We start from the raw sequence: 24,559 nt of genomic DNA, 5'->3' as shown, positions 1-24,559 counted from the left end.
TTAATTTGTGAACACATATCCTTGCCATGTCCCACAAATAACAATAAATGGATATAATGCGTGCACCCACATTTCCTTTGCCAAGTTTCATACAATAAATAAACTAACATCAGCTTTTAGAAAAGTTAGAACTTTTTAAAGAATGCAAAGGAGATAAAGACACATCATTGAAATTAGTCTCTGTTTTAATTTGTTCAAGGGAAACCAAAAAGATGCCTGAAGGTAAATGCAGTGTATGTGTTTTTTGCCCCTGTCATAATAGCATTTTTGTTTTATTGCTGTATGTATTACCATTATCAAACTACTGTATATTTGATGCTTGCCTATGGCAATACAGTGGCCTTAACTAATAGAAGATGGCGCAGCATCAGGACTACATTAAGAAAGGAATGTTTTATTTAAGGACTCAGCTGGTAATGTACTACCGTATTTCCCTTTACAATTTGCTCACTCTAATTGTTAAAACATTTCCTGCTATTTCAGAAGAGTAGAGACCACAAAAGCCTACAGATGAAGCACTTTGAGGTTTACACTGGAGGAACGAATTTGTTTTGCAACCTGCATTTAAAAGCATTTTAAACATGTCTTACATGACTCCTTTCTTTCTTGTCTCTATTAGTTGTTTAGAATTCAACCAGGACTTCTGTGGGTTCTGGAATGAGTAATTAATGAAGCATTAGTGTTTGAAAATTTTCTGAATAAAAGTCAGCAAGGTAGAACACAGGCAAATGAACCTAAAGGCAGACATACACAAAAAATGCAGTCCATAAAATTTCTGGTCCAAATATGGATTTTAGATTTTTGTACTATTTTCTCCAAATTTATAGTTCTAGTCTAAACAATATATGCTATAATACTTTTAAGAAGTGGGATATATCACCATTAAATAGTGGGAGTGATTTTTTTAAAAAAGGTTGGTTGGTATTAAAAAGGAATTAGGAAAGATTGAAAATATACTGATCAGGCATATAAAAGTGAATAACAATGTTCCATTACATTATAAAACATTTTAAGTAACTAAATCATAGTCCCAATATTAACAGATTTCTAGTGGATATTTGAGATCTATTACTCTTCATTTTGACAATTATTGCAAGTGTCATATGAAGACATAGCTAAATTCTCCAAGTATTTTGTGAGCTCTCCTTGTTCAGGATATTTTGTACTTCTCACAACTTCCAATGTGACAGGTAATAAATGTAAATAAATCAATACAGATGAATGAAACATATTTTCATTAAGAAGGAACAAATCTTAATTTCTAAATGCCTGGTAGTTATTTTCCAGGTATTCAATATCAGCATCACATCAATTATTTCTTATGACTTAAAGTTTCATTTCAGGGCATAATTACAACTATAGTAAAAGTTTACATCAATATCTCTTCAATATTACAATTACAAGGATGCTTGTGAGAAACAGCTCCTTTTTAGCACGGGGGTTGAAGCTAGAACTGTCACAATTATCAATTTTGTGATTTGTTGATTTTCTTTATTTCTATGACACCAAGTAAAATCTGGTTGATCAAGATATTCTATTAATAACTGTGATTTTCAAATCTGACCACGAATTAAAATCTCCTGGGGATCCAAACACAACTATTTCATTTATTTTTTTATGTGTATAGGAAATTACCAACAACCTAGCATATTTCTGTATTCCCATTTCCAATCAAACATTAACTACCAGCGGCATCCACTATTAGTTTTGACTGTTACTGAACTTCATATAACTTGAATTTCATCCCATGCATTGATTTAGAGAATACCAGGCAAAAACAGATTTTAGATCCCACTTAGATTTGGTCATGTTTCAAAATCAGGTCAACAGCTATCATGAGAGCTTTTTCAATAGAAGTTGCCTAACCTCTAATCTAGATTAATTGGCATCGATTTTCCTGTATATTCAAGGATTGTATTAATATCTTTTTTGAGAAATTGACCATAAACCTAAATCCTCTTCACTTAGGAACATTTTGTAGAACTGGAAAGAACACTTGTGAAAAATATTTGCTGATTCAAAAGCTCTATACAAATATACAGGACTATTAGAAATGATCTTCTGCCCAATATACAAGTTTTCTTGTCATAAAGAAACAGTTTTCCTCTTGCTGTCTTCTCAGGTTAAAATTATTCAGACTTGAACATCTTTACAATCCCCTGGCACATGCTAATTTCAGTGGATCCTTTATTTCATGCATCCTCTGCCTTCCTGCCCAGTTTCCTGCCCAGTTTTACCTCTTGCCCAATTCTCTTCAATTACTTGAACAAATGGCAGTTTTTCTTGCCCCAGGGCCTTAGCACATCCTGACCTGCCTTGAGATTCTCTGTCCCTGCTTTTTGAAAAGCTAAGATCTCATTTTTTTTCCATTATCTGTATAGATATCACTTCTTCAGAGTGGCCTCTTCTGACCATTACCACTTCTGTTTCAGTCTCTCCGAGCACTCTGATGATTTAGATCATCAAATCATTCCTAATGTTTACTTATTGGTACCTTGCATTAGGTTGCCAACTCCATAAGGCTAATGACACCAGGTATCCAGCTTGCTTTTATATGTCCAGAGCCTAACACTGTGACTGAAATATTAAAACATTTCTCCATTTCTTGAAAGAAATGAAGACTTTGCCTTTCCATAAAAAAAAACAGCTACCTTTATTTATAAATGAGAATTTGATTTCTTGAGAGTGAGGGTTTGTTCCCATGCTCTTTTCTTATGTGTCATTTACTCTGGGTTCAGGGTCCTTGGATCTTCGTTGAAGAAAGAAAGTGCTTCTTGAAGCATTCGGTATGTATTAGTGCTAACGTCGTGGTAATGATGAGCTCCCGAGTAGTATGTGTGCCTTGTCACGTTATCATGGGGCTGAGAAAATACTTCCTAATTTATCTCTTCAAATGTAAGACCCTCTTTCTTCAGCAAGATCAAGTTATCTAAGCATTCAGAAGCCTCTCTCTATTTCATTTGTTTCTCTGAAGATGTCAGCTGTTTCTTAATATTCCTCAGGTGCTTTATCTCACTCAAATCAATTGATCTGAACCACTGAGAACCTTATTCTTTTAAGAAAAAAGAATATAGGAAACTACAGAGTGCTAAATACTGCCTTAAATCAGCTTTATAATATACCAATTGCCTTCACTGTGATGGAGGAGAAAACCCGTATCTTGACCATTTTTAAGTTCTATTGACTTTCCTATGTATTATGAGACCTCTGACACCATGGACGTGAGCAAAGCAAGACTAGCAGTATCAGGGGTCGACTAAAGGGGGATGATCTTTGTAAGAACTGCTCACTTCTATTTTCTTACATGACAGGAGACAATCAAGCACTATACTACACTAAATTAGAAACAGAGGGTAGAGCAAATGTCTATAGTTTTGCATAATCCTCATAAATTGGAGGAGAAACATACTCGGGCTTTTTAATCAATGAGAAGACTGTTCTTTCAATGACTTTGTTGCAGTTCTTAGCCCAGAAGTACTACAGCCAATGGTGGAATGACTACTGCAATTTTATTCGCAAAATACCTATGAGAATTCCAGATGGTGCCCCTGAGGCCAGTTGTTAACGGGGCAAGAGCGGATTCATTCCACACCCATTTTCTACTTTGGTGTTGAAATGCGAGCTAGTCCATGGTCTAGATCCCACCCACATGCCAACATGCACCTGCAAAAGTCTTCAATTTGGGGGCTTTTAAATCACAAGCAGACACCCTGATTTAGCTTACATATTAAAAATTCCATCGCAGGAAAAAAATTCTCCAAAAACTCAGAGCTCTAATTCCTTAATGAATTATGTACGTGGTGAGGGATATACAGACAGACATGACTTGATTTCCTGTTCAGAATACTGGAGAGCATATTGGAATACAGACCACGACCATTTCAGGGCTAGTGTTTCAGTCACACTTGCAAGTAAAGCAAAATGTTATCAAGATTTGTTTTAATTGAGGAAATAGGGAATTCCAAACTGTTAATAAAACGTCATTGACAACATTTGAGCTCAAGATAAAAATACAGCCTACTTTCTCCAAGTTTACTCTATGGTCTTTGGAGAAATGGTGTATGTGAATAGACAGTCACAGACTGAAGCCCATTTTGCACAGATTCTGCAAGACCTTTCTCTTCATTTATAGAAGCATGCCCCTTGCATTGGCCAAGTTTCATTTTAGACGCCCAATGAACCAGAAACCCAAAGCTAAAATCATCTATAGTCACCAGCTTGCTTATGCGTTTCACCTGGAGTCATAAATCTTTTCTTTATATCCTTTGGGAGGGAGTGAGTTCTCCTGAAACTTGGGCCAAGTTCACCTGACACTTCTCAGGAGCCCCATTTAGGGTTTACATAGAAAAAAGTCAAACCGAAATAATTTTTACCAGTTTTAGATTTCATTTAAAAAACATACAGACACATGTGCAATGTCCCAAGTCACTTATTTTAATAGGAATCTGGAAGACAGAAATGGCATCAGTTTAGACTGACAGGGCTAACCTAAGAAACGCACGTAAGACTAAAATCAATCTCCCCAACTCTATATTATCTATGAGAATTAGGCCAAAGGAAGTTTTATGGTAAAATTAAAAGAATGTGTGAGCACTTAGTAGTCCATTATATTATTATTATTCACATTCATGTAAATACTCCTAATCCTGATATTTTCAATCCGTATAAGCACAGAAGCAGTGAATGTTATTCTTACTGGCTGTAATTATCAGAGGCTGGTTCCAGAATAACATGACATCAGTGAAAGCACACAGACAAGAGGGAAGGGGCTTTGTCATAAATCTTCCAGTAGGGGGCGCCAAAGGCAAGAACTGTCTAAGAAATGTTCATCTGGATCCACTTTCTAAAGAGGTATCATCATTGCTCTTACTTTAAGCCTTGCCTCCCTCTTACCTCTGCTGCAAACTCATAGCATTAATAAATAAAATGTGAAAAGAGAAAATTGAAAAGTCATAGCCTTTTTTATTGCCTTAGTTGGAAGAAGTTAGGATCTTTTGGGGTGGGGGATGTGATTTGTAACTAGGCAGGAGCATGAGAAGAGTTTCTGGGATACTGATAGTATTCCATTTTATGATCTGGTTTGTAGTTATTTGTGTGTCTTCACTTTGAGGTGATTTATCAAGCTGTAAATTGATTGTATGTGCTCTTATCTGTCTTTCACACTTTTAAAAAATGTTTACTAAAAAAAGAGAGAGAGAGAGAGAGATTGCTGTTCTGTATTCCCAGAAATGACTAGTTGGAAAAGCAACACAAAAACAGCGATCAGGGTTGGAGTCTGCATGTGTGCTGGAATCTAGGTGTGGAAGCCTGCAGAGCAGGACATGGATTAGACTGTGATGGAGTCAGAAATGAAAAGTACTCTAAGAAAATAAGAAAATTGACTAGAGCTGTGCTTACTGCATAAAACTTGGGACTGGGAAGAGACTAAAAAATTGTTACCTATCTCTGGATCCACAGGCTACTTAAAATTTCATACCCCGGGAGATGAGAAGAGATAGACAGAGCCTGATGGCTGGGGCCTGCAGAGGCCTGTTCACTGTCTCATAGACGGAATATGCCATATTCTAAACCATACAAGTGCACAGAAGCCATGGCTTACCAAAATACAATCTGATCTGGACTCAGAGCTCCAGCGGTCAGCAACTGAAAATTTTAGACAGAGTAGTATGATAATAGACCAACACTGACCTTTACAACAAACAAACTCACTCAAAATGTATCTGGATTAAAAGCAAATAAATAAACAGATCTACATCTATTCTTTCCTTAATGAACCATCAGACATAGGAAAAAGATGGATTACCCACAAATCAGCAATAATTAGACAAGCCCTCCTCTCACCAGAAATGACAAATGGCAGAAGATAAGAGTATCCTTTCAAAACATTTACAGAAAATTACTGTCACAAAACAGTGTATTAAAAAAAAATAGGTAAGCTTTTTGAAATTATACTATTAAATGAAAAACTATGTAGAAAAATTAAATTTAACAATGTTAAATTAAGCAAAGAACTATCTGAAAATTGATTGGCCTCTCAAGTCAGAATAGCTCAGAGAGCCTCCAGCATTGCAAAGTGGTGGAATATTTATAGACAGAAAAATGAAAATAACATCTAAAATAACGGAAGTGAGGTACAGAAACGGATTTGGTATTGCTCAGTGTTTGCCTTATTTGAACACTGTTTAAACAGTTGGCTGCCTTTAATTGGCCAAAGCTCAGTGATTGGCACAAGAGTAAGTTACAGTCAGCTTACATGTGCAGTTAGGCTACAGTTCACTACGTACGGAGTAATATTTAGGCTGAACTTTACATATGTAAGAACATAACTTTAGGCTAAACTTAGTTTAACATCCTCCTTTTTGGTCATCCTCTCAATGTTGAGAGAGGATCAAAATTTTAGGCATTGACGTCACTGTCACCATTGTAAATTTTCTTATTTGGTGTCAAATCATTGCCGGTAAATAGCAAAACTGGCTTTTATAAGGTGGAAACTAGGACTCCAGGCTATTATTTTTTTAAAAGACTAGACTAGATGGGACCTTCTTGTGCTGGAATCACCTCTTTTGAGTAGAAAAACAAAACATGCTCTGTTTTAGGATCTTTCACCTTCAAGTTTTAGTTTGATTACGTCGCATTCAGCATGAATGACTTCATTTTGGTTTGTTCTGCTCTGTTGGGGCCTAGTGCACACACTCAGTCTTAAACAATGGCTTCCCACAAATATGTCTAAAAAAATTCCCACCGTTTGGTTAAGTTCTTACTCAAGTGAGAGTGACCAAAACTGAGGGGTTTAGCACATTCTCAGTTACCATCATTCTGGGTTTCTGCCCTCGGCATACCAAACATAGATAATTGCATCCTCATGGTCATATATTTCTTAGAGTTTTTGTCATTCTAGTTGACAAGAGATCATTTAATATTCTGGACATGGCTGCATGCAAACATTTAAAACTTGTGGGAGAATATAACCCACAATGGAGATTGCTATTATGACTATCAGAAGGAGGATAATATTATCAGGAGGAGAATATGGAGTATGCTGCTTAGCCAGAGTCCATACCTATATACATGTATACATATATACATACATACATAAGCATCTACATGTATATACATATGTGTGTGCATGTGTATATATATACATGTATACAAATATGTGCATATTTATATATATTTTTATATAAAAATTTATATAAATTTAAATAAATTTATATATAAAATTTATATATAAAAAATGTATATATATTCCTACCAGATTAGCCTGGAGACAAAGCTTGGGTGTGAAGAAGGGGCTATATTGGACTTGACTCTGACTTTTAGCTGCTGGCCTGGGCACTGAGAACATGTCTCCAGACCTCACTACAACTACCTATCCAGGCCTCCAAATCTAGAGGCTCAAAATAAAAAACAAAAGCTAATAGCCAAATCAAGAACATGTCAAATTATATATAAATGATAATTTTAAAGTCATTTCTATTTTATTAGCAATTTTTAAACTAGCTTCATTTACAGAATATTATCCCATACACATAATACATATAGACATACAAACATAAGAACAGAAAATATAGCTTTCATAAAGGATTCCAATTTGCTGGCTTTTAGATAATTTTTTCCCCATTCAGACTCTTAATTCTTTAATTACCTGTTTCATTGCCCTCAGTAATTGTTAACTAGGCAACAAATGTGCATTTCTAAAGGGACAATTCTTAGGTGAAACAAGAAAATTTATATTTCAAAAGCAAAGAGCTAACATTTAAGGCCTATGATATGGTTTGGCTGTGTCCCCACACAAATTTCATATTGAATTATAGCTCCCACAATTCCCGCATGTTATAGGAGGGACTTGGTGGGAGATTATTGAATTATGGGGGCAGGTCTTTCCCATGCTGTTCTAGTGATAATCAGTAAGTCTCATGAAAGCTAATGGCTTTATAAAGGGGCATTCCCCCGCAAAAGCTCTCTTTTGCCTGCCGCCATGCAAAATGTGACTCTCCTTCTTCTTTGCCTTCTGCCATGATTGTGAGGCCTCCCCAACCATGTGGAACTGTGTGTCAATTAAACCTCTTTTCTTTATAAATTACCCAGTGTCAGGTATGTCTTTATTAGCAGCATGAGAACAGACTAATACAGCCTGAATATTGCATCTTTTGCTCAAGCCAAAGAAAAAATGGCATAAGTAAAAGTACAGTTAAAGCAAGATGGCCAGTAAAGCACCTTAAACTAAGGTATGACTTGTGTAAATTTAAAATAATGGTAAGAAGAGTTTCTAATGTACACAGAAAGGCACGTAACATATGGAGATTTCCTTTAGAGATGTGTATTAGTTTGTTCTCATGCTGCTATGAGGACATACTTAAGACTGGAAAATTTCTAAAGGAAAGAGGTTTAATTGACTCACCGTTCTGCAGGGCTGGGGAGGCCTCAAAAAACTTACGGTCATGGTGGAATGGGAAGCAAACATGTCCTTCTTCACATTGTGGCAGCAAGAAGTTCAGAGCAAAGGGAGGAAAGTCCCTTATGAAACCATCGGATCTCATGAGAACTCACTCACTATCAAAAGAACAGCATGAGGGTAACTGCTCCCATGATTAAATTACTTCCTGATGGGTCCCTCCCACCACAGGTGGTTATGTGAACTACAATCAAGATGAGATTTGGGTGGGGATGCAGCCAACCATATAATTTAACCCCTGGCTTCTCCCAAATCTCACGCCCTCATCCTATTTCAAAATACAATCATGCCTTCCCAGCAGTCCCCCAAAGTCTCAACTCTTTCCAACAGTAACTCAAAAGTCCAAGTCCAAAATTTCATCTGAGACAAAGCAAGTCCCTTCTGCCTACGAGCCTATAAAATCAAAAGCAAGTTAGCTACTTCCTAGATACAATGCGGGTACAGGCATTTGGTAAATACACCCATTCCAAATGGGAGAAATTAGCCAAAACAAAGTCCATTCAAGTCCAAAATCCACTGGAGCAGTCAAATCTTAAAGCTCTGAAATGATCTCTGTTGACTCCATGTCTTGCATCCAGGTCATGATGCAAGATATGGGCTCCCATAGTCTTGGGCTTTGCCAGGTACAGCTCCCTTCCCAGCTGCCTTCACAGGCTGGTGTTGAGTGTCTGTGACTTTTCCAGGTACACTGTGCAAGTGTTGGTGGATCTACCATTGTGGGGTCTGGAGGATGGTGGCCCTCTTCTCACAGGTCCACTAGGCAGTGCCCAAGTGGGAACTCTGTGTGTGAGACCCAACCCCATATTTCCCTTCCGCACTGCCCTAGCAGACATTCTTTATGAGGGCTCCTCCCCTGTAGCAGACTTCTGCTCAGACACCCAGGCATTTCCATAAATCCTCTGAAATCAAGGTGGAGGTTCCCAAACCTTAATTCTTGATTTCTGTGCACAAAGCAAGGGTCCCCAGGCCTTGCCCAGTAAACCATATTTTCATCCTTGGCCTCTGGGCCTGTGAGGGGAGGGGCCACCATGAAGGTCTCTAACATGCCCTGAAGACATTTTTTTCCATTGTCTTGGTGATTAACATTTGGGCTCCTCATAACTTATGCAAATTTCTGCATCCAGCTTGAATTTCTCCCCAGAAAAAGGGGTTTCCTTTTCTAGTGCATCATCAGACTGCAAATTTTTAAACTTTTATGCTCTGCTTCCTTTGAACTCTTTGCCGCTTAGAAATTTCTTCTGTCAGATACTCTAAATCATCTCTTTCAAGTTCAAAGTTCCACAGATATCTAGGATAGAGGCAAAATGCCACCAGTCTCTTTGCATAGCAAGAGTGACCTTTACCCCAGTTCCCAACAAGTTCCCCATCTCCATCTGAGATGACATCAGCCTGGACTTTATTGACCATATCACTATCAGGATTTTGGTCAAAGCCATTCAACAAGTCTCTAGGACGTTCCAGACTTTCCCACATCTTTCTGTCTTCTGAGCCCTCCAAGTCTCTATGAAGTTCCAAACTTTCTACTTTTTTTATCTTCTTCTGAGCCCTCCAAACTCTTTCAACCTCTGCCTGTTTCCCTGTTCCAAAGTTGCTTCCACATTTTTGGGTATCTTTATAGCAGTGCCTTACTCCTGGTACAAATTTACTGTGTTGGTGTGTTCTCACACTGCTATAAGGACATACTTGAGACTAGGCAATTTATAAACAAAACAGGATTAATTGACTCACAGTGTCGCAGGGCTGGGGAGGTCTCAGGAAACTTTCAATCATTGCAGAAGAGGAAACAAACACATCCTTCTTCACATGGTGGCAGGAAGGAGAAGTGCAGAACAAAGCAGGGAAAAGACCCTTATAAAACCATCAGATCTCATGAGAACTCACTCATGAGAACAGCATGGAAGTAACTGCTCCCATGATTCTATTACCTCCTACTGGGTTACTCCCACAACACATGGGGATCATGGGCACTACAGTTCAAGATGAAATTTGGATGGGGACACAGCCAAACCATACCAAGATGTAATTTCTTTTACAAAAGAATTTCAAGATAGCTAGTTAAATACCAGAAAGCTGTATTTTAGTTCCATAGGTGAACCTTTCAATTTAACTATGGTTTCTAGCTAAAATCACTATGTTTGGGATGAAGCCCATTAAGGAACAGGGCAAATAAAGCATTCTCTCTGCCTGGAATCAGGACAGATAGATCTGAAAAAGAAGCAAGTCTACTTTACCTGAGGGCCTGTCTTTAATAAACACTCTATCTATCTAGAAGAGATTCCTTTGTGCCTTCAAAGTTGGATAGTAACTAAGCCAAAAGGTTGGAGGATTTAATTTTTCTTATCTACTAGTCACTTAAATCTTTTATTTGCCTTTTATAAAGAGTCCTTTTTAAAATAACAATAAAATATTGAAAATTTTTTAGAAGTTTCTGGACATTAATAGACCTCATCAGATGAGATTAATTCAGGAGATTTCATTTTCAAATGCACTTTTTAAAGTGCAGTATTGTTCATTTGGAATGTTACATTGTATTTTACATTACATTTAGTAAGATTTTGCCATTTCTATAAGCATTTGCTAATTCTGGGCTAATACTTATACATGTAAATGTAGACACAGCCAGAAGGTAGATTACTTAGTTCTTAAGAAAGTAAAGATCTCATTTTTATCTTGAATCTTTGCTTTGACTCTCATATCCCCTAAATCAACTTAGCCGATGTCTTTCCTCATATAAGCACACAAGAAAGAAAGGAGTTAAAATACAAAAATCTCTGCAAATTTCTAAATGCTAAAGTTTGCACCTCCTGCAATGTTACCATTTACTATTGGTTTTTAATCTGACCCAGTCAGACATAAGGGGTTTATAACTGGATCCAAGCCAGTTATTTTTAGGATCTTTAAGCCAAAAAATATCTGAGACAAGTCTCAGTTAATTTAGAAGTTTATTTTGCCAAGGTTAAGGACATGCCCACGACAAAGCCTCACGAGGTCCTGGGAACATGGCCCAAGTGTTGGGGTCACAGCTTGATTTTATACATTTTAGGAGGGCAGAAGTTATAGGCAAATATCAATTAGTATATGTAAGGTGTACATTGATTTATTCTGGAAAGGCAGGCCATCTCAAAATGGGGGCTTCCAGGCCATAGGTGGACTCAAAGATTTCCTGACTGGCAGTTGGTTGAAAGAGTTTAATTTTGGCTAAAGAGTTGAAGTTAGCAGAAAAAAAAAATGCGTGGGGTCAAGATAAAAGAGACTGTGGAAACCAAACTTCTTGTTATGCAGATGAAGCCTCTAATTAGCAGGCTTCAGAGACAATAGATGTTAAAGGTCTTCTTATCAGACACTAAAAGGTGCTAGACTCCCCTGAAAAGACCTAGTAAGGGAAGGAGATTCTCTACAGACTGTAAGTTTCCCCCCCCACACACAAGACAGCTTTGCAAAGCCATTTTAAAATATGTCATGGAAAAATATTTTTGGATAAAATGCTTTCATTTCTTTCAGGGCCTGTTATCTGTCATGTGAGTCTATAGTAGGTCAGATTGGAATTTGGTATCTTATTGCTACAAAGAGTCTGTTTTGCCGGTTTTAGATCTTTGTTTTAATGTTAACGCTGGTCAGTTGTGCCTGAATTCCAAAGGGAGGAAAGTATAATGAGGTATATGGAACCTCTGTTTCCATCATGGCCTGAACTAGTTTTTCAGGTTAACTTTAAAATGCCCTTGGCTGAGAGAAGGGGTCCATTCAGTTGGTTGGGGGCCTTAGAATTTTATTTTTAGTTTACAGATTGAATCTAATTCTGGACCCAGTTCATTTTCTGTTGAGACTTCTGAAGAAAGTTTGGATCAAAAATTTCGTTCAAATAAACTTGGATAGTTCAAAACACAAATCTGTCGAGCTTCAGTATCCCAGAGAGAACTTGCCACGATTCCCAGCGGCTGTGAGAGCGCAATGGATACAATACACTCCAGGCATCCCACTTGGTCACTCAATGCTCCTGCAGGTCGCTAGAAGCTCTATTTCAGATCACACTTCTGACTTCATCTGTTAAAAGACAAAAACATAGACAAGTTAAATTTAACAAGTTTAATTGAGCAAAGAATGATTCTCAAATTCTGCAGCTTCCGAAGCCAGAGGAGGCCCAGAGATGCTCCAGCAAAGCCATATGGTGGAAGACAATTTATGGACAGAAAAAGGAAGGTGATGTACAAAAAATGGAAGTGAGGTACCGACATAGCCAGATTGGTTACAGTTCAGCGTTTGCCTTATTTGAACACAATTTGGACAGTTGGCTGCCTTTGATTGGCCAAAACTTGGTGACTGGAATGAGGAAGTTACAGTCTGTTTACACATCCAGTCAGGATACAATTCACCATGCACAGAAAAAACTTTAGGCTGAATTTAAAATATGTAAGGAAACAGCTCTAGGCTAAATCTATTTTAACAATGCATACAAATCAAGAGTTTTTTTGTTTTTGTTTTTGTCTAGATAGATGTTACTAAAGAGCCAATAGAGGATTACTTAAGGGAGAAACTAGCTGGATTGTAAGAAGTACAGAGCAAAAAATAAATGGGTGTTTAGAAACTGGTAAAATATACTATTTCTTTTAATTATTATTAAACTGACTATTAAAATAAACTGATTTATTATTAAAGTAAAATGATTCATCATTAATTTTACTTAATAAAAAGGTTGAAATTAAGTGTCCAGAGGTCATTAATAATGAAGGAAATCAAAATATTTCACCCAAAATATGTCTCCCTGGTATAATGAGTATTTTAAATGAAAAATCCTAAGAGATCAATAAGTGACAAAAGAAACTTTTCCCCATCTACATAAAGGGAGAACTCACCCACCAAGGAGAAAAATTATTCTTATTTCCCTCCCTTTTGTCTTATTTTTCATTACAAGAAAGAAGATGACAAATGTAACCACACTTGAACAGACCTGTTTTCAGGATAATGACTATTTCTGAGGATCATTTCAAATCTAAAGAGAGCTATTTACAAGTCAGTTTCTGTTAGATAGTAATCATTTATGGCCCTTCAACAGAATTCCTCTTCTCTCCCTTCCCAAATTCTGTTTTACCAGCATCCAAGCCCCCATTCTTTCTGTAACCTCAAGGTGGTATATAAGCTTCTGTTCCTCATTGGGAGTTTGGGTCTTCATTCTGAAGGTCTTCATTCTATGTATACCCATTAAATAAATTGGTATGCCTTTTCTGCGATTATTCAATTTGCCTCATGTCAGTGCTTTTCAGCAAAACTTTAGGAAGTCAAAAGTGTAACCACCCAAGGGTTTCACCTTGCCTGCTGCCTAGACAGAGCCAATTTATCAAGACAGGGGAACTGCATTAGAGAAAGAGTAATTCATGCAGAGCCAGCTGTGCAGGAGACCAGAGTTTTATTATTACTCAAATCTGCCTTCCTGAGCATTCAGGGAACAGAGTTTTTAAGAACAACTTGGTGGGTGAGGGGAATCCGGTGAGCCAGGAGTTCTTCTTGGTTAGGTAGAAGATGAAATCATAGGGAATTGAAGCTGTCCTCTTGCACTGAGTCAGTTCCTGGGTGGGGGCCACAAGATCAAATGAGCCAGTTAATCAATCTGGGCAGTGCCAGCTGATACATCCATTGCAGGGTCTGCAAAATATCTCAAGCATTGATCTTGGGAGCAGTTTAGGGAGGGTCAGAATCTTGTAGCTTCCAGCTGCATGACTCTTATGCCATAATTTCTAATCTTGCAGCTATCTTGTTAGTCCTACAAAAGCAGTCTAGTCTCCAGGTTCCTTTTGGGAAAAGGCTTTTATTGTCTTTGTTTTAAACTTTAAACTAAGTCCCTCTCAAAGTTAGTTCAGCCTACGTCCAGGAAGAAACAAGGATAGCTTAAGGTTTAGAACCAAGATGGAGTTGGTTAGGTTAGATCTCTTTCACTATCTCAGTCATAATTTTGCAAAGGAAATTTCAATAGCTTCAGCCCCCACAATAAGAAAAGTGGTAGATACACGTTTCATACATTTTCATAAGTAATTAATTTACATAAGAATCTCATTTTGTTTGAAAGAAGAATAGGTACAATGAATGACTTTAAACCATTAGAAAAAAAAATTGTATTGCTTAACACAACAAATATTTACCAACCAATAGTCTAGGTACTGGGCATTTGCTTGGGTTGTTGGAAGAAAAGGGGGCAATTGTGAAGCAGAATGGGTAATGAGGAAGGTAAAAGTAGTTCAGAGATGTAGAAGGGAGGGAATTCTAGGCCATGGTATAGAGACTGGATATATATATAGTGGATATATATATATATATATATATATATATATAGTGCTTTCACTAAGATGATGTAATGAAGAGTCTGACTCTATTTTTGATGTTTGATGGCTGAGAGCTTTCAAGCTTGACCCCTTCCTTTTTCTTTTCTGCCTCATATCTGAGTAAGCTGAGGAGAATGCCCTAGTGCTCCCTCCTTTGGTGCCAGCAGGAAGTTTAAGTTACATATGCTTCTATCCCAAAGTGGAAACTCTCATCCCAACCCAACTGTCTAACCACAGTGAAAGCTTCAAGCTAGTCTTGCTTTGCTCCCTCAAGCCATTTTCAGCTTCCCTTGGGAGTGGCCCCACTTTATCGAAAAAATATCCTATGTGAGAAACCTTTTTAGACCCGTGTGTGTGTGTGTGTGTGTGTGTGTGTGTGTGTCACTAACAGTGTTGACATTGAGCCAAATTTTAAATGGCCACAACTGGCAGTAAGCTTTAGAAATGTTTGAGTAGGTATAGGTATTACCTGAGATAGAGATGATAGATAGATAGATAGATAGATAGATAGATAGATAGATAGATAGCTATGGTTATAGAGATAGATATGAATATCTATCTAGCTATCTTTTAATCACTTATTTTCTCTGTGCAAAATATATTGAAGGAAGGGAGGGGATAGAACAGAAAACTATTGCAGTTTGCTTCAATAGCTTAAACCACTTCTCTCCAATCTTTCTCATTCTAGGAAGCTCATATAGAAATTAAGAGTGCCTATGCCATACATTAGGAAGACAAAAGAGGCCGCTCAGCATCAGGAATTGTTCCCAGTTTCTCTAATTTCTTCAGCCCTCACTGATTGTAAGAGGATTTGTTATTACCGTACACTTGAATCATATTAGGAACAGTGTTAGAAAAGCTGGTCAGAGATGGTGAGGGCTTAGATACACAAGTGGCAGAAAGAGAAGTGAGAATAAGTTGTTTTAAAGGTAGAGCTACTGCACTTGGGTGTATATTGGAAGTAAGATGATACCACCTTTGTAAGATTATGACAGTGAGAGAAATTTAGTATGGCTGACTTCATCTTGCTTCTAATCTTATAGTTAGAAGCAAGGTTACAAGGTTACATGTCTTTGCTCATTCCTGGGTTTAGGCCAAGCTGACTATGGCAGGAATTTAGTTTATAGTTTAACTTTAAAACAAGGATGATAATAGTCCCTCCCTAAAACTGATCTCCTCCATGTTTGGGGTCTGAAACAGCTTTTGTAGGACTAATGAAAGGTCATAAGATTAGAATTATGGAAGAATCCTGAATCCCACTAAGATATAGGCATAGTTTCTATAATCTCTTACTTCTCAGGAGTCAAGGCCAGAAGTAACAAGATGTGTGACTTCCTCAGTTGTTCCTATAGCTAACATCACTATCGTAGAACCTAAGATTTGTCTTTTAAGATGTTTTTCAGACTTTTGCATTCTGGTAACTGACTGACCCTACCTGGATTTATGATTTATGACTCATGACTCAACTAGTCCTGTGGGCCCCCCCACCCAGAGGCAGATTCAGTGCACAAGGACCATTTTCCAAATATCTATGATTGGATTCCAACCAATCGGCAGCACCCGTTCCCTAGTCCCCTGTGCATCAAATTATCTTTGAAAAACTCTAACTTCTGAGCCTTTGGGGATAATAATTTGAATGATTATTCCAGCTCCTGTGTGGCTGGCTGGCCTTGTATCAATTAAACTGTCTTTACTATAATGCCATGATCTCAGTGAATTGGTTTTGTCTATGCAGTGGGAAGGAAGAACATATCTGGTGATTACAAGAGAATGTAAGATATCAAGATATCCCCAAAGTTTTTGGCATGAGCAAACAGATGAATAGAATTACCATTTACTGAGATGGAGACAGTGTGGAAAGAGCTAGTTTAATGTACCAGAAAGGAAATTTTGTGTTCTAAACATACTGTGCTTTTCAAAAATGTATTAACAAGCACTAACAGCAAAAATCCAGGACCATTGACTTCATTTTGCTAGAATTTTCCCTTGAAAAGACAGAACCAAATGGTAAAATACAGTATAACCTTTAGCATGTGTGTGGTGCAAAATAACTTCAACACAACATATATTAAATCATCTATTATTTTTAAGGTCTATATTTTTTCATTTGGTTCCATTTTATAACTTTTACATCTTACTGGAATTTTCTATTTTGTATTTGTTTCAAGAGAAGTCATAATTGATTGTTAATGATTGTGCTTACTGTATTATAAAAATCCTTGTAAGGTCATTCTAAATCTGGCTCATCTCACTTTGTGTCTGTTGATATCTTTTCTCATTCATGTTGTGATTTTCCTGTTTCTTGTTATGATGAATGCATTCTCAATTATATTCTTGACATTTTAGTTCTTATAAGACTCTGGATCCTATTTAATCTTGTTTTTTCAGCTGGATGTTCCCTAGGGTATAGTGAAAGGGCCAGGTGGGTGTATATATTTAGTTTTCCACTGTGTCGCACACACACCCTAGCAAGAGTACTCAGTCACACTGCCTCATTGCAGCAGATGTGAAACTTCACCTCTCCCTCAGCCCTGCTGATGCTTTCTCAGAGAAAGAAAACACCAATTTTCACCTCCTCATTGTATTCAGGTTGAAATATAGGTTTAGCTTCACACTGGGCCCTCCATCACCAGGAAGATAGTAAGTAAAGGACTAACCCTCATTGTCTTGTTGCTGTTTGGGTAGGTAAAAGTTCAACACTTTACTGGGACTGTCATACCAGGAGTGGAGTGAGGCAGAATAGAGTGGAGAGGAAATGTGGAGTGACAACTACCTTCACTTGAACCACCATGTCGTTCTACCTCGTTGATACTGGCTTGGGGTGGAAGCGAGGCTCACCACTGAGCTAAACTAACAGTAGGGAAAGGAAATACGGAGTATTGTCTAACCCATCTTGCACCACCTAATTCTGCCTTATTGATGTCAGGTGGCTATATGAAGGCTTAGCTCCCTGAGGTGCCCACTGGTTGATTTTTATACTGATTTTACAAATAGTAAGAACAATGTGATTTAACAATGAAAATACATGAAATTTAAAAACTTTCATTTCACCTGCACTATAAAATTTATGTTTCATGCTATTTTCCAAACCTTCTCTATATGCATTCATAGAGTATACCATTGAAATGATAGTATATATTATTTTATCTTATTTTTATGCTTATATTTATATATTTTATTTTTCTAAAGTCTTTATGGTTATTGTAATGATACAGTTTGGATATTTGTCCGTGTCTTAATCTCATGTTGAAATGTAATACCCAGTGTTGGAGGTAAGGCTTGGTGGGAAGTGTTTGAATCATAGGGATGAATCCCTCATGAATGACTTGGGCTATCCCCTTGGTAATAAGTGAGCTCCTGCTTTGAGTTCACATGAGATCTGGTCATTTAAAAGTGGGTGGCACCCTCCTACTTTCTCTCTTGCTCCTGCTTTTGCCATATGACAATGCACAAGCTCTTGCTTCTGCCATGAGTAAAAACTCTCTGAGGCCTCCACAGAAGCCGAGGGTTATCACTGCCATGTAAAACAATTAAATGTCTTTTCTTCATAAATTACCCAGTCTCAGATATTCCTTTATAGCAATACAAGAATTGCCTAACACAGTACTACACAAACAGTATTTTATAATTAATTGTGTGTTAAAATTTTTAAAAAGAATATTATGATATTGGGAAGTCATTTAAAAATCATTTTCTTTATTAAATGTATAACACAAAATGCCTACCAAAGTGGCTGATTAGTAAGATACTCTTCTTTCCTGTTAGTGATTGTATTACTTTCCCGTGGCTGCTATAACATGTTACCACAAACTTATCATCTTAAAACAGAAAAAAATTATATCTTACAGTTTTGGAAGTTGAGTCTGGACAGATCTTGCTGTCAGGGTTGCATTCCTTTCTGGAGGCTCTACGGGATAATCCATTTCCTTCCAGCTTCTAGAGGCTGCATGTATTCCGTGGTTTATGGCTACATTCAAAAGCAGCAATTGTTTTCAATCCTTCTCACATTGCATCACTCTTACACTTACTCTTCTGCCCCTGTCTTCCACATTTACGAATTTTTATGATCACATTGTGCCCACCCTGATAATCCAGGATAATCTTTATATCTTAATGTCTTCTAGTTAACAATCTCAATTCCATCCACTACCTTGTTCCCCTTTGCCATATAACATAACCTCTTCATGGGGGTGAACATTCTTGGGAGGTCATTATACTGCTTACTTCCATAAAAATTTAATTTGGGTTTGCATTTTTATTAAGTGAGTCCTCATAGTCACTGTTGACAAGAAGGAACTTGAAGCTTATAAGTTTATTAGAGATAATTCATCTTTTACCACCAATTACAAACAGAATATTATAAAATTATAATTGATTCCAAATAAATGTTGCTGTTAGAGTATAGATGTTAAATTATTCCTAAAATTTGGAAAAAGGGGAGACATTCATATCTGAAGTCCTGTATCCTTTAGTACATTTCTAAAAAACAAATTTATTAGGAATAGCGCATCAGTATCAATAAGATTTACTCCAATTTCTAAAGTAAAATATGGAGGAGAAGGTTTAAATTTTAGGACTGGAAAGATTGGCACCTAAATCTAAAACAACTTCATTTGTCTTAGAAAGGTAATAAAATTGAACTCCTGCATCTTAAATAACTTGCCTATATTCACACACCCAATAAGTAACAATGGGAGAACAAGAGACAGTAATCAGTATTTTTGAACTCCAGTTCTTGACTTCTCTGTTTCATTACAACATCCATTAGGAAAAAAAAAAGTGTTAGTGATAATTTATTTCAATTGAAATTTATTCATCATGAAAGATATATGACAAAAATACCATCATGGAAATAGATAAATTTTTGAAAATAAGAAATTATTTTAAAAAGAACAACTAGGCTAGGTCTGGTAGCTTATGTCTGTAGTCTCAGCAATTTGGGAAGCCAAGGTGGGAAGATCACTTAAGCCCAGGAGTCTGAGACCAGTCTGGGCAATAAAGTGAGACCCCCATCTCTACAAAAATATTTTGAAAATTAACTGGGCATGGTGGCGTGCACCTGCAGTCCTACGTACTTAGAAAACCGAGATGCGAGGATATCTTGAGCCCAGGAGGTCATGACATTGCACTCCAGACTTAGCAACAGAGCAAGACCCTGTTTCAAAAACAAAATAAAAATAATAAAAAAATTAAAAGAACAATTAAAACTAATACCAATACTTTTATAGAGAATATCTCTAGGTACTTTTATGTAATGACATTGCTCTTTAATTTGCTACATTTTGTAGTCTGTGTAGTTATAAACAGCCTCACTTGAGTCTATTTAAAAATCATTACTTCTAGTAAAAAAACTCCAACATGTATATGTTCTGGCTAAATGTTGGTGTCCCTTCAAAATTCATATATTGAAATCCTAACGCCCAATATGAAGTAGAGACTTTGGGAGGTGATTGGGTCATGAGGGTAAAACCTTTATGAATAGATGTCCTCATAAAAGTGGCCCTAGAGAGATTCCTGGCTTCTTCTGCCATGTGAGTACACAGTGAGAAGAGAAGACGCAACCACATGTTCGTCTGTGAACCAGGAAGCCAGCCCTCACCAGACACCAAATCTACTGCTGCCTTGATCTTGGACTAGTCCTTGGAGACTAGTGCCAGTCTCTAGATTTGTGAGAAATAAATATTTGTTGTTTAAGCAACCCAGTCTACGGTATTCTTGCAATAGTAGCCCAAATAAACAAAGCCAATACTATACCAAGTTAAAGTGGCACTTAAATACACACACATATGTATGTGTGTATATATATGTGTATATGTATATATTAGGTAAGCAGTATGCTTGAATATATTACCAACTAATTGTTTGAAGTGGATTATTTTTAACTAAATGTTTGAAATACATTTATCACTAAACCTGTCAGAGAAAGAAATCTACACTTCTAATTTAATTATCAAAGTAAAAATTCTGTCAATTGTTGCACCATAGGAATTGAAATATCTATGAAATATGTTAGTTTCCTAGTCAGATCTCCTCTTCACTCTAAATCAGGTCACTATGACCAAGTAACACGACTTGGAAGGGAAGAGTTCTTGATTGCAATTTTAAGTCATTTACCTGTAACTCGTGTTATTACGTGAATTTGAAATCAGCAGCTGAAAACTGGAATTTACCATCCCTAATTCATTGATAGATGATACGTAGAAAAAGAACAATCCGTTACTTTTTTCTCCTTCCAGGACAATTATAAAAATGACGCAAAAATCACAAAATGATTCTATTATAGCTGTGTTGGCTCCACAAATTAGCCATTTTATAAAACCTGTTTTTGAACACACTGTAGAAACACGTGAATTCTACAAATGATAATACCACATTTGAGTTTAAATATAGGATAATCCATTACAGATGACTTAACTCTTTGGTAGAGAGCTTAATATTTTTTTCTCCACAAGTTCATATTAGAAAGTTTTAGGCTTAAACATTCTCTGAACTGTAATATCTGTGTGTTTGTACAAAACAAACTTATATAAAAATGTTGGATAGAAATCTAAGAAACATGTTAGTTCTAGAAACACAAGAAATATGTATTAGCATTTTTTTGCTTGCTTTGATTCTTAGCACCAAATGTAGGTTGGCTACTTTAGGATATTAGCTATAACAATTACTTCATTGCAAATCTTTTCTTGGCATCATTCACGCCCAAATGAGCTTAAGAAGCCAATTAGCTACTCTCATGAAATACAATGTTTCTTAGACAATCTGACTGTTTTGATTGAAAAATACCAAAAACAGATTGAAAAATATGAAGTATTTGAGATACTTGTAAACTTTATATAAAAACAAAACGAGACAAAAAAAGGCTGACTAATAGAGTGACCATATAATTTGTCATTAAAAGTAGGATAATTTTCAGAGTGAAATGAACTATTGATAATTAGACCAAAATGAGACAGGCTCAAGATTGCTCAGGACAATTCAAGAGTTGTGGTCATGCTATTGATCAAGGCTATCAAATCAATGTATAAAGGGACTTAGAAGTATTTTTGCACAAACCTGGATTCAGGCTCTGGGTGTGCCATTAACTAAATGTACTTTACCTAGGACATCATTTAAAGCACTAAAGACTACTGTTGGCCAGATGTGGTGGCTCACACCTGTAATACAGCACTTTGGGAGGCTGAGGCAGACGGATTGCTTGAGCCCAGGCATTTGAGACAAGACTAGGCAACATGGTGAAACCCTGTCTCTACAAAAAATACAAAAATTAGTTGGGCATGGTGGTGCATGCCTGTAATCCCAGCTACTCAGGAGGCTGAGGCGGGAGAATCACTTTAGCCCAGGAGGCAGAAGTTGCAGTGAGCCAAGATCACCGTAATGCACTCCAGCCTGGACGGCTAAGTGAGATCCTGTCTCAACAACAACAAAAAAGACTAGTCATTATATGTAAAGTTGTAACCATAACAATATCTGTCTTTCTAGTTGATTGTGAGGAGTAAATGTGATAAGATTTAAAAAGTTAAGATTATTGGTACCAAGTGAGTGCTCAGAAAAGCATAGTTATATTGTACTGATACTGAGTTTTTTGTTTTTGTTTTTAAGCAGAAGAACAAACAGTCAAAGAGGCAGATAATCTGGTTAGGAGATTTTGAGAAGTACCTCTACAGCACTATGAAAATACCTTTCCCATCAAAATTTGCTGAAATTACGAGCTCTTTTATTTTCCTCCTTTTAAGTCAAGTAGTTCTGGGAGGAATACACATTTTAAGCACTTTAGAGGTCTTTTTCCTCGTTATGTATTATTATTAATTAATTGTTGGATAAAAACAGCAGATTATATTTTGCTTAGAATTCAATTGTTTCCAGAACAATTTTCCACATATTATGATTACATTTTTGCATATTAGCAAGTACTATTATCATTACCCTTGCTTTTCAGATGAGGGAATAGAATAAAATACTCCAGCTTAGAGATTCAGAGTTGGAGCTTAACTTCAATGCAGGTTTTCAGGTTCAAGTATCTGGAACTCTATTTCAGTAGGACTAGATAAGAGCTGGTTTTCAGAGCTCAGAGGCTGAAAAAGACAGGCCCAGTGCTAGAAAAAGTCTTTAAGGGACTATATTTGGTAACTGAGTGGCTATTGCTGACAGATGGCACCTAAACATGAGTAGAAGAGAGTGGGGAGGGGAGAACACCATGAGGAAGGTGGGTTCGGGACAATAAATGGTATATAAACACACTTCTGGGGCATTTCAAATACTTTTGGCCTTACCTTGAGCTTTAGCCAGTACTGCATTGACTCAATCCATGGAAGTTTTAGCAACATGCTATCTCCTTACTTCCTACCCCAGGGCTTTTCTGAAGCCTTTACATAGAATACCCATGGAAACCTCCTCCAATCTTATACATATGCACACAGAAGGACAAGGAATTTCAAACTAGTGGATTTATGCATTTGGGAAGAAATCAAACCATTTTTTCCTTGAATGGAAAGGTCTGAGAAGTATTTCACAAAGCTCCTCCAAAAGTCATAATGGACTGAACACTGGGTGGCTTTACTTCTTTCACTATTTGTTTTATTCTTTCCTCTTGGTTTGAGGTGTCCAGGCTCACCAAAATCCAACAGGAAAATATCTTCTCTTCTCTAACAGGAAATTATTCACATATTGGAAAAATTATAGAACCACCAAGAGGTCCTAGGGGAAGAAAAAAACCCACAGAATATGTGCAGTAAGTCTTGTGAGTACTGGTTCAAAGGGTTCAAATATAAGACAGAGATTTATTGACTTAGAAGCACTTGGAACCTGTCTTTAATGAGATGTCCTTTTGCAGCATAATAACTGTCAGAAACATTGTTACCTAAAGGGTGACCTACAGACCAGTAGCATGAGTATCACCCAAAAGTGTGTTAGAAATACGGAATTATATGTTCTATTAGGTATATTGAATCAGAATCTGCATTTTATCAAGACCCTAGGTAATTTGCTCCATATTTAATTTTAAGAAGTGCTAGCCTACAGTAAATGAAGTGGAGATGGCTTAATAGAGTATTAAAGAAGGAGACAGAAGGCACATACACAAAGTTCAAATAACATAGTCATATAGGAGAGAAAATTAGTATCTTTTCCTTGCCTATTGCAAAGTTTATGGCTGAGACTCATACAACAAAAGACAGATTAATAAGAGAAAAACACACTAATGTATTATATAAGTTTTACATGACATGGGAGACTTCAGAAATGAAGGCCTAAAGAAACAGGGAAATCTGTGTACATTTATGACAGTCATGCAGAAGTGTGACTGCAGGACAAAAAAGTACGATCTAATGGTAATAAACTAAGGGAAAATTAGCAAGGCCCACTTATTCAGATTAGTCTTGGTGACTCTGTGTATTCACTCTGTTTCTCCAGGTACAGGGAGGACACCTCTCAAATGAAGCTCTTATGAGCTACTTTGTTGGAAGGTCAGATAATTCTTCTGTGGTCTACTTCATGGGAGAATGCTGGGAGAAGGTCAGAGATACCTTTCTACTACTGCTATTTTCTTAAATGCCAAGGTGCCATACTTGGGATAGCATGTTCTGAGTCCCATAAGTCAAATAAAAAAAGCAAATTCATACTTAGGTAATAAGGGACTTTATTCAAAAAGACTATTGCAATAGGGAGACTATTGCAGAGAAACAAAAGTAAACAAGACGAGACAAAACTGGGTATCCGGGATTAGGCTGAGCCAAGGGTATGATTAGAGAGTTTATTAGGGAATGTTTTTTCCATGAGGTCAGTTGATTCTATGGAA

At 36.9% G+C, this 24,559-nt stretch overlaps 1 annotated feature.

The window, feature by feature from the left end:
- Window positions 11,472-12,064: an enhancer, noted in NCBI's record as "OCT4-NANOG hESC enhancer chr14:83922762-83923354 (GRCh37/hg19 assembly coordinates)". NCBI's record gives its function as "activates a minimal SCP1, AML or CMV promoter by ChIP-STARR-seq in naive H9 embryonic stem cells {active_cell/tissue: H9 hESC(naive)}" and the evidence as "EXISTENCE:reporter gene assay evidence [ECO:0000049][PMID:30033119]".

This window comes from Homo sapiens, chromosome 14 (assembly GCF_000001405.40).
Source record: "Homo sapiens chromosome 14, GRCh38.p14 Primary Assembly".
NCBI lineage: Eukaryota > Metazoa > Chordata > Mammalia > Primates > Hominidae > Homo > Homo sapiens.
Note: the sequence above shows the minus strand (reverse complement) of the source record. Positions and strands in the feature narration are given on the sequence as shown.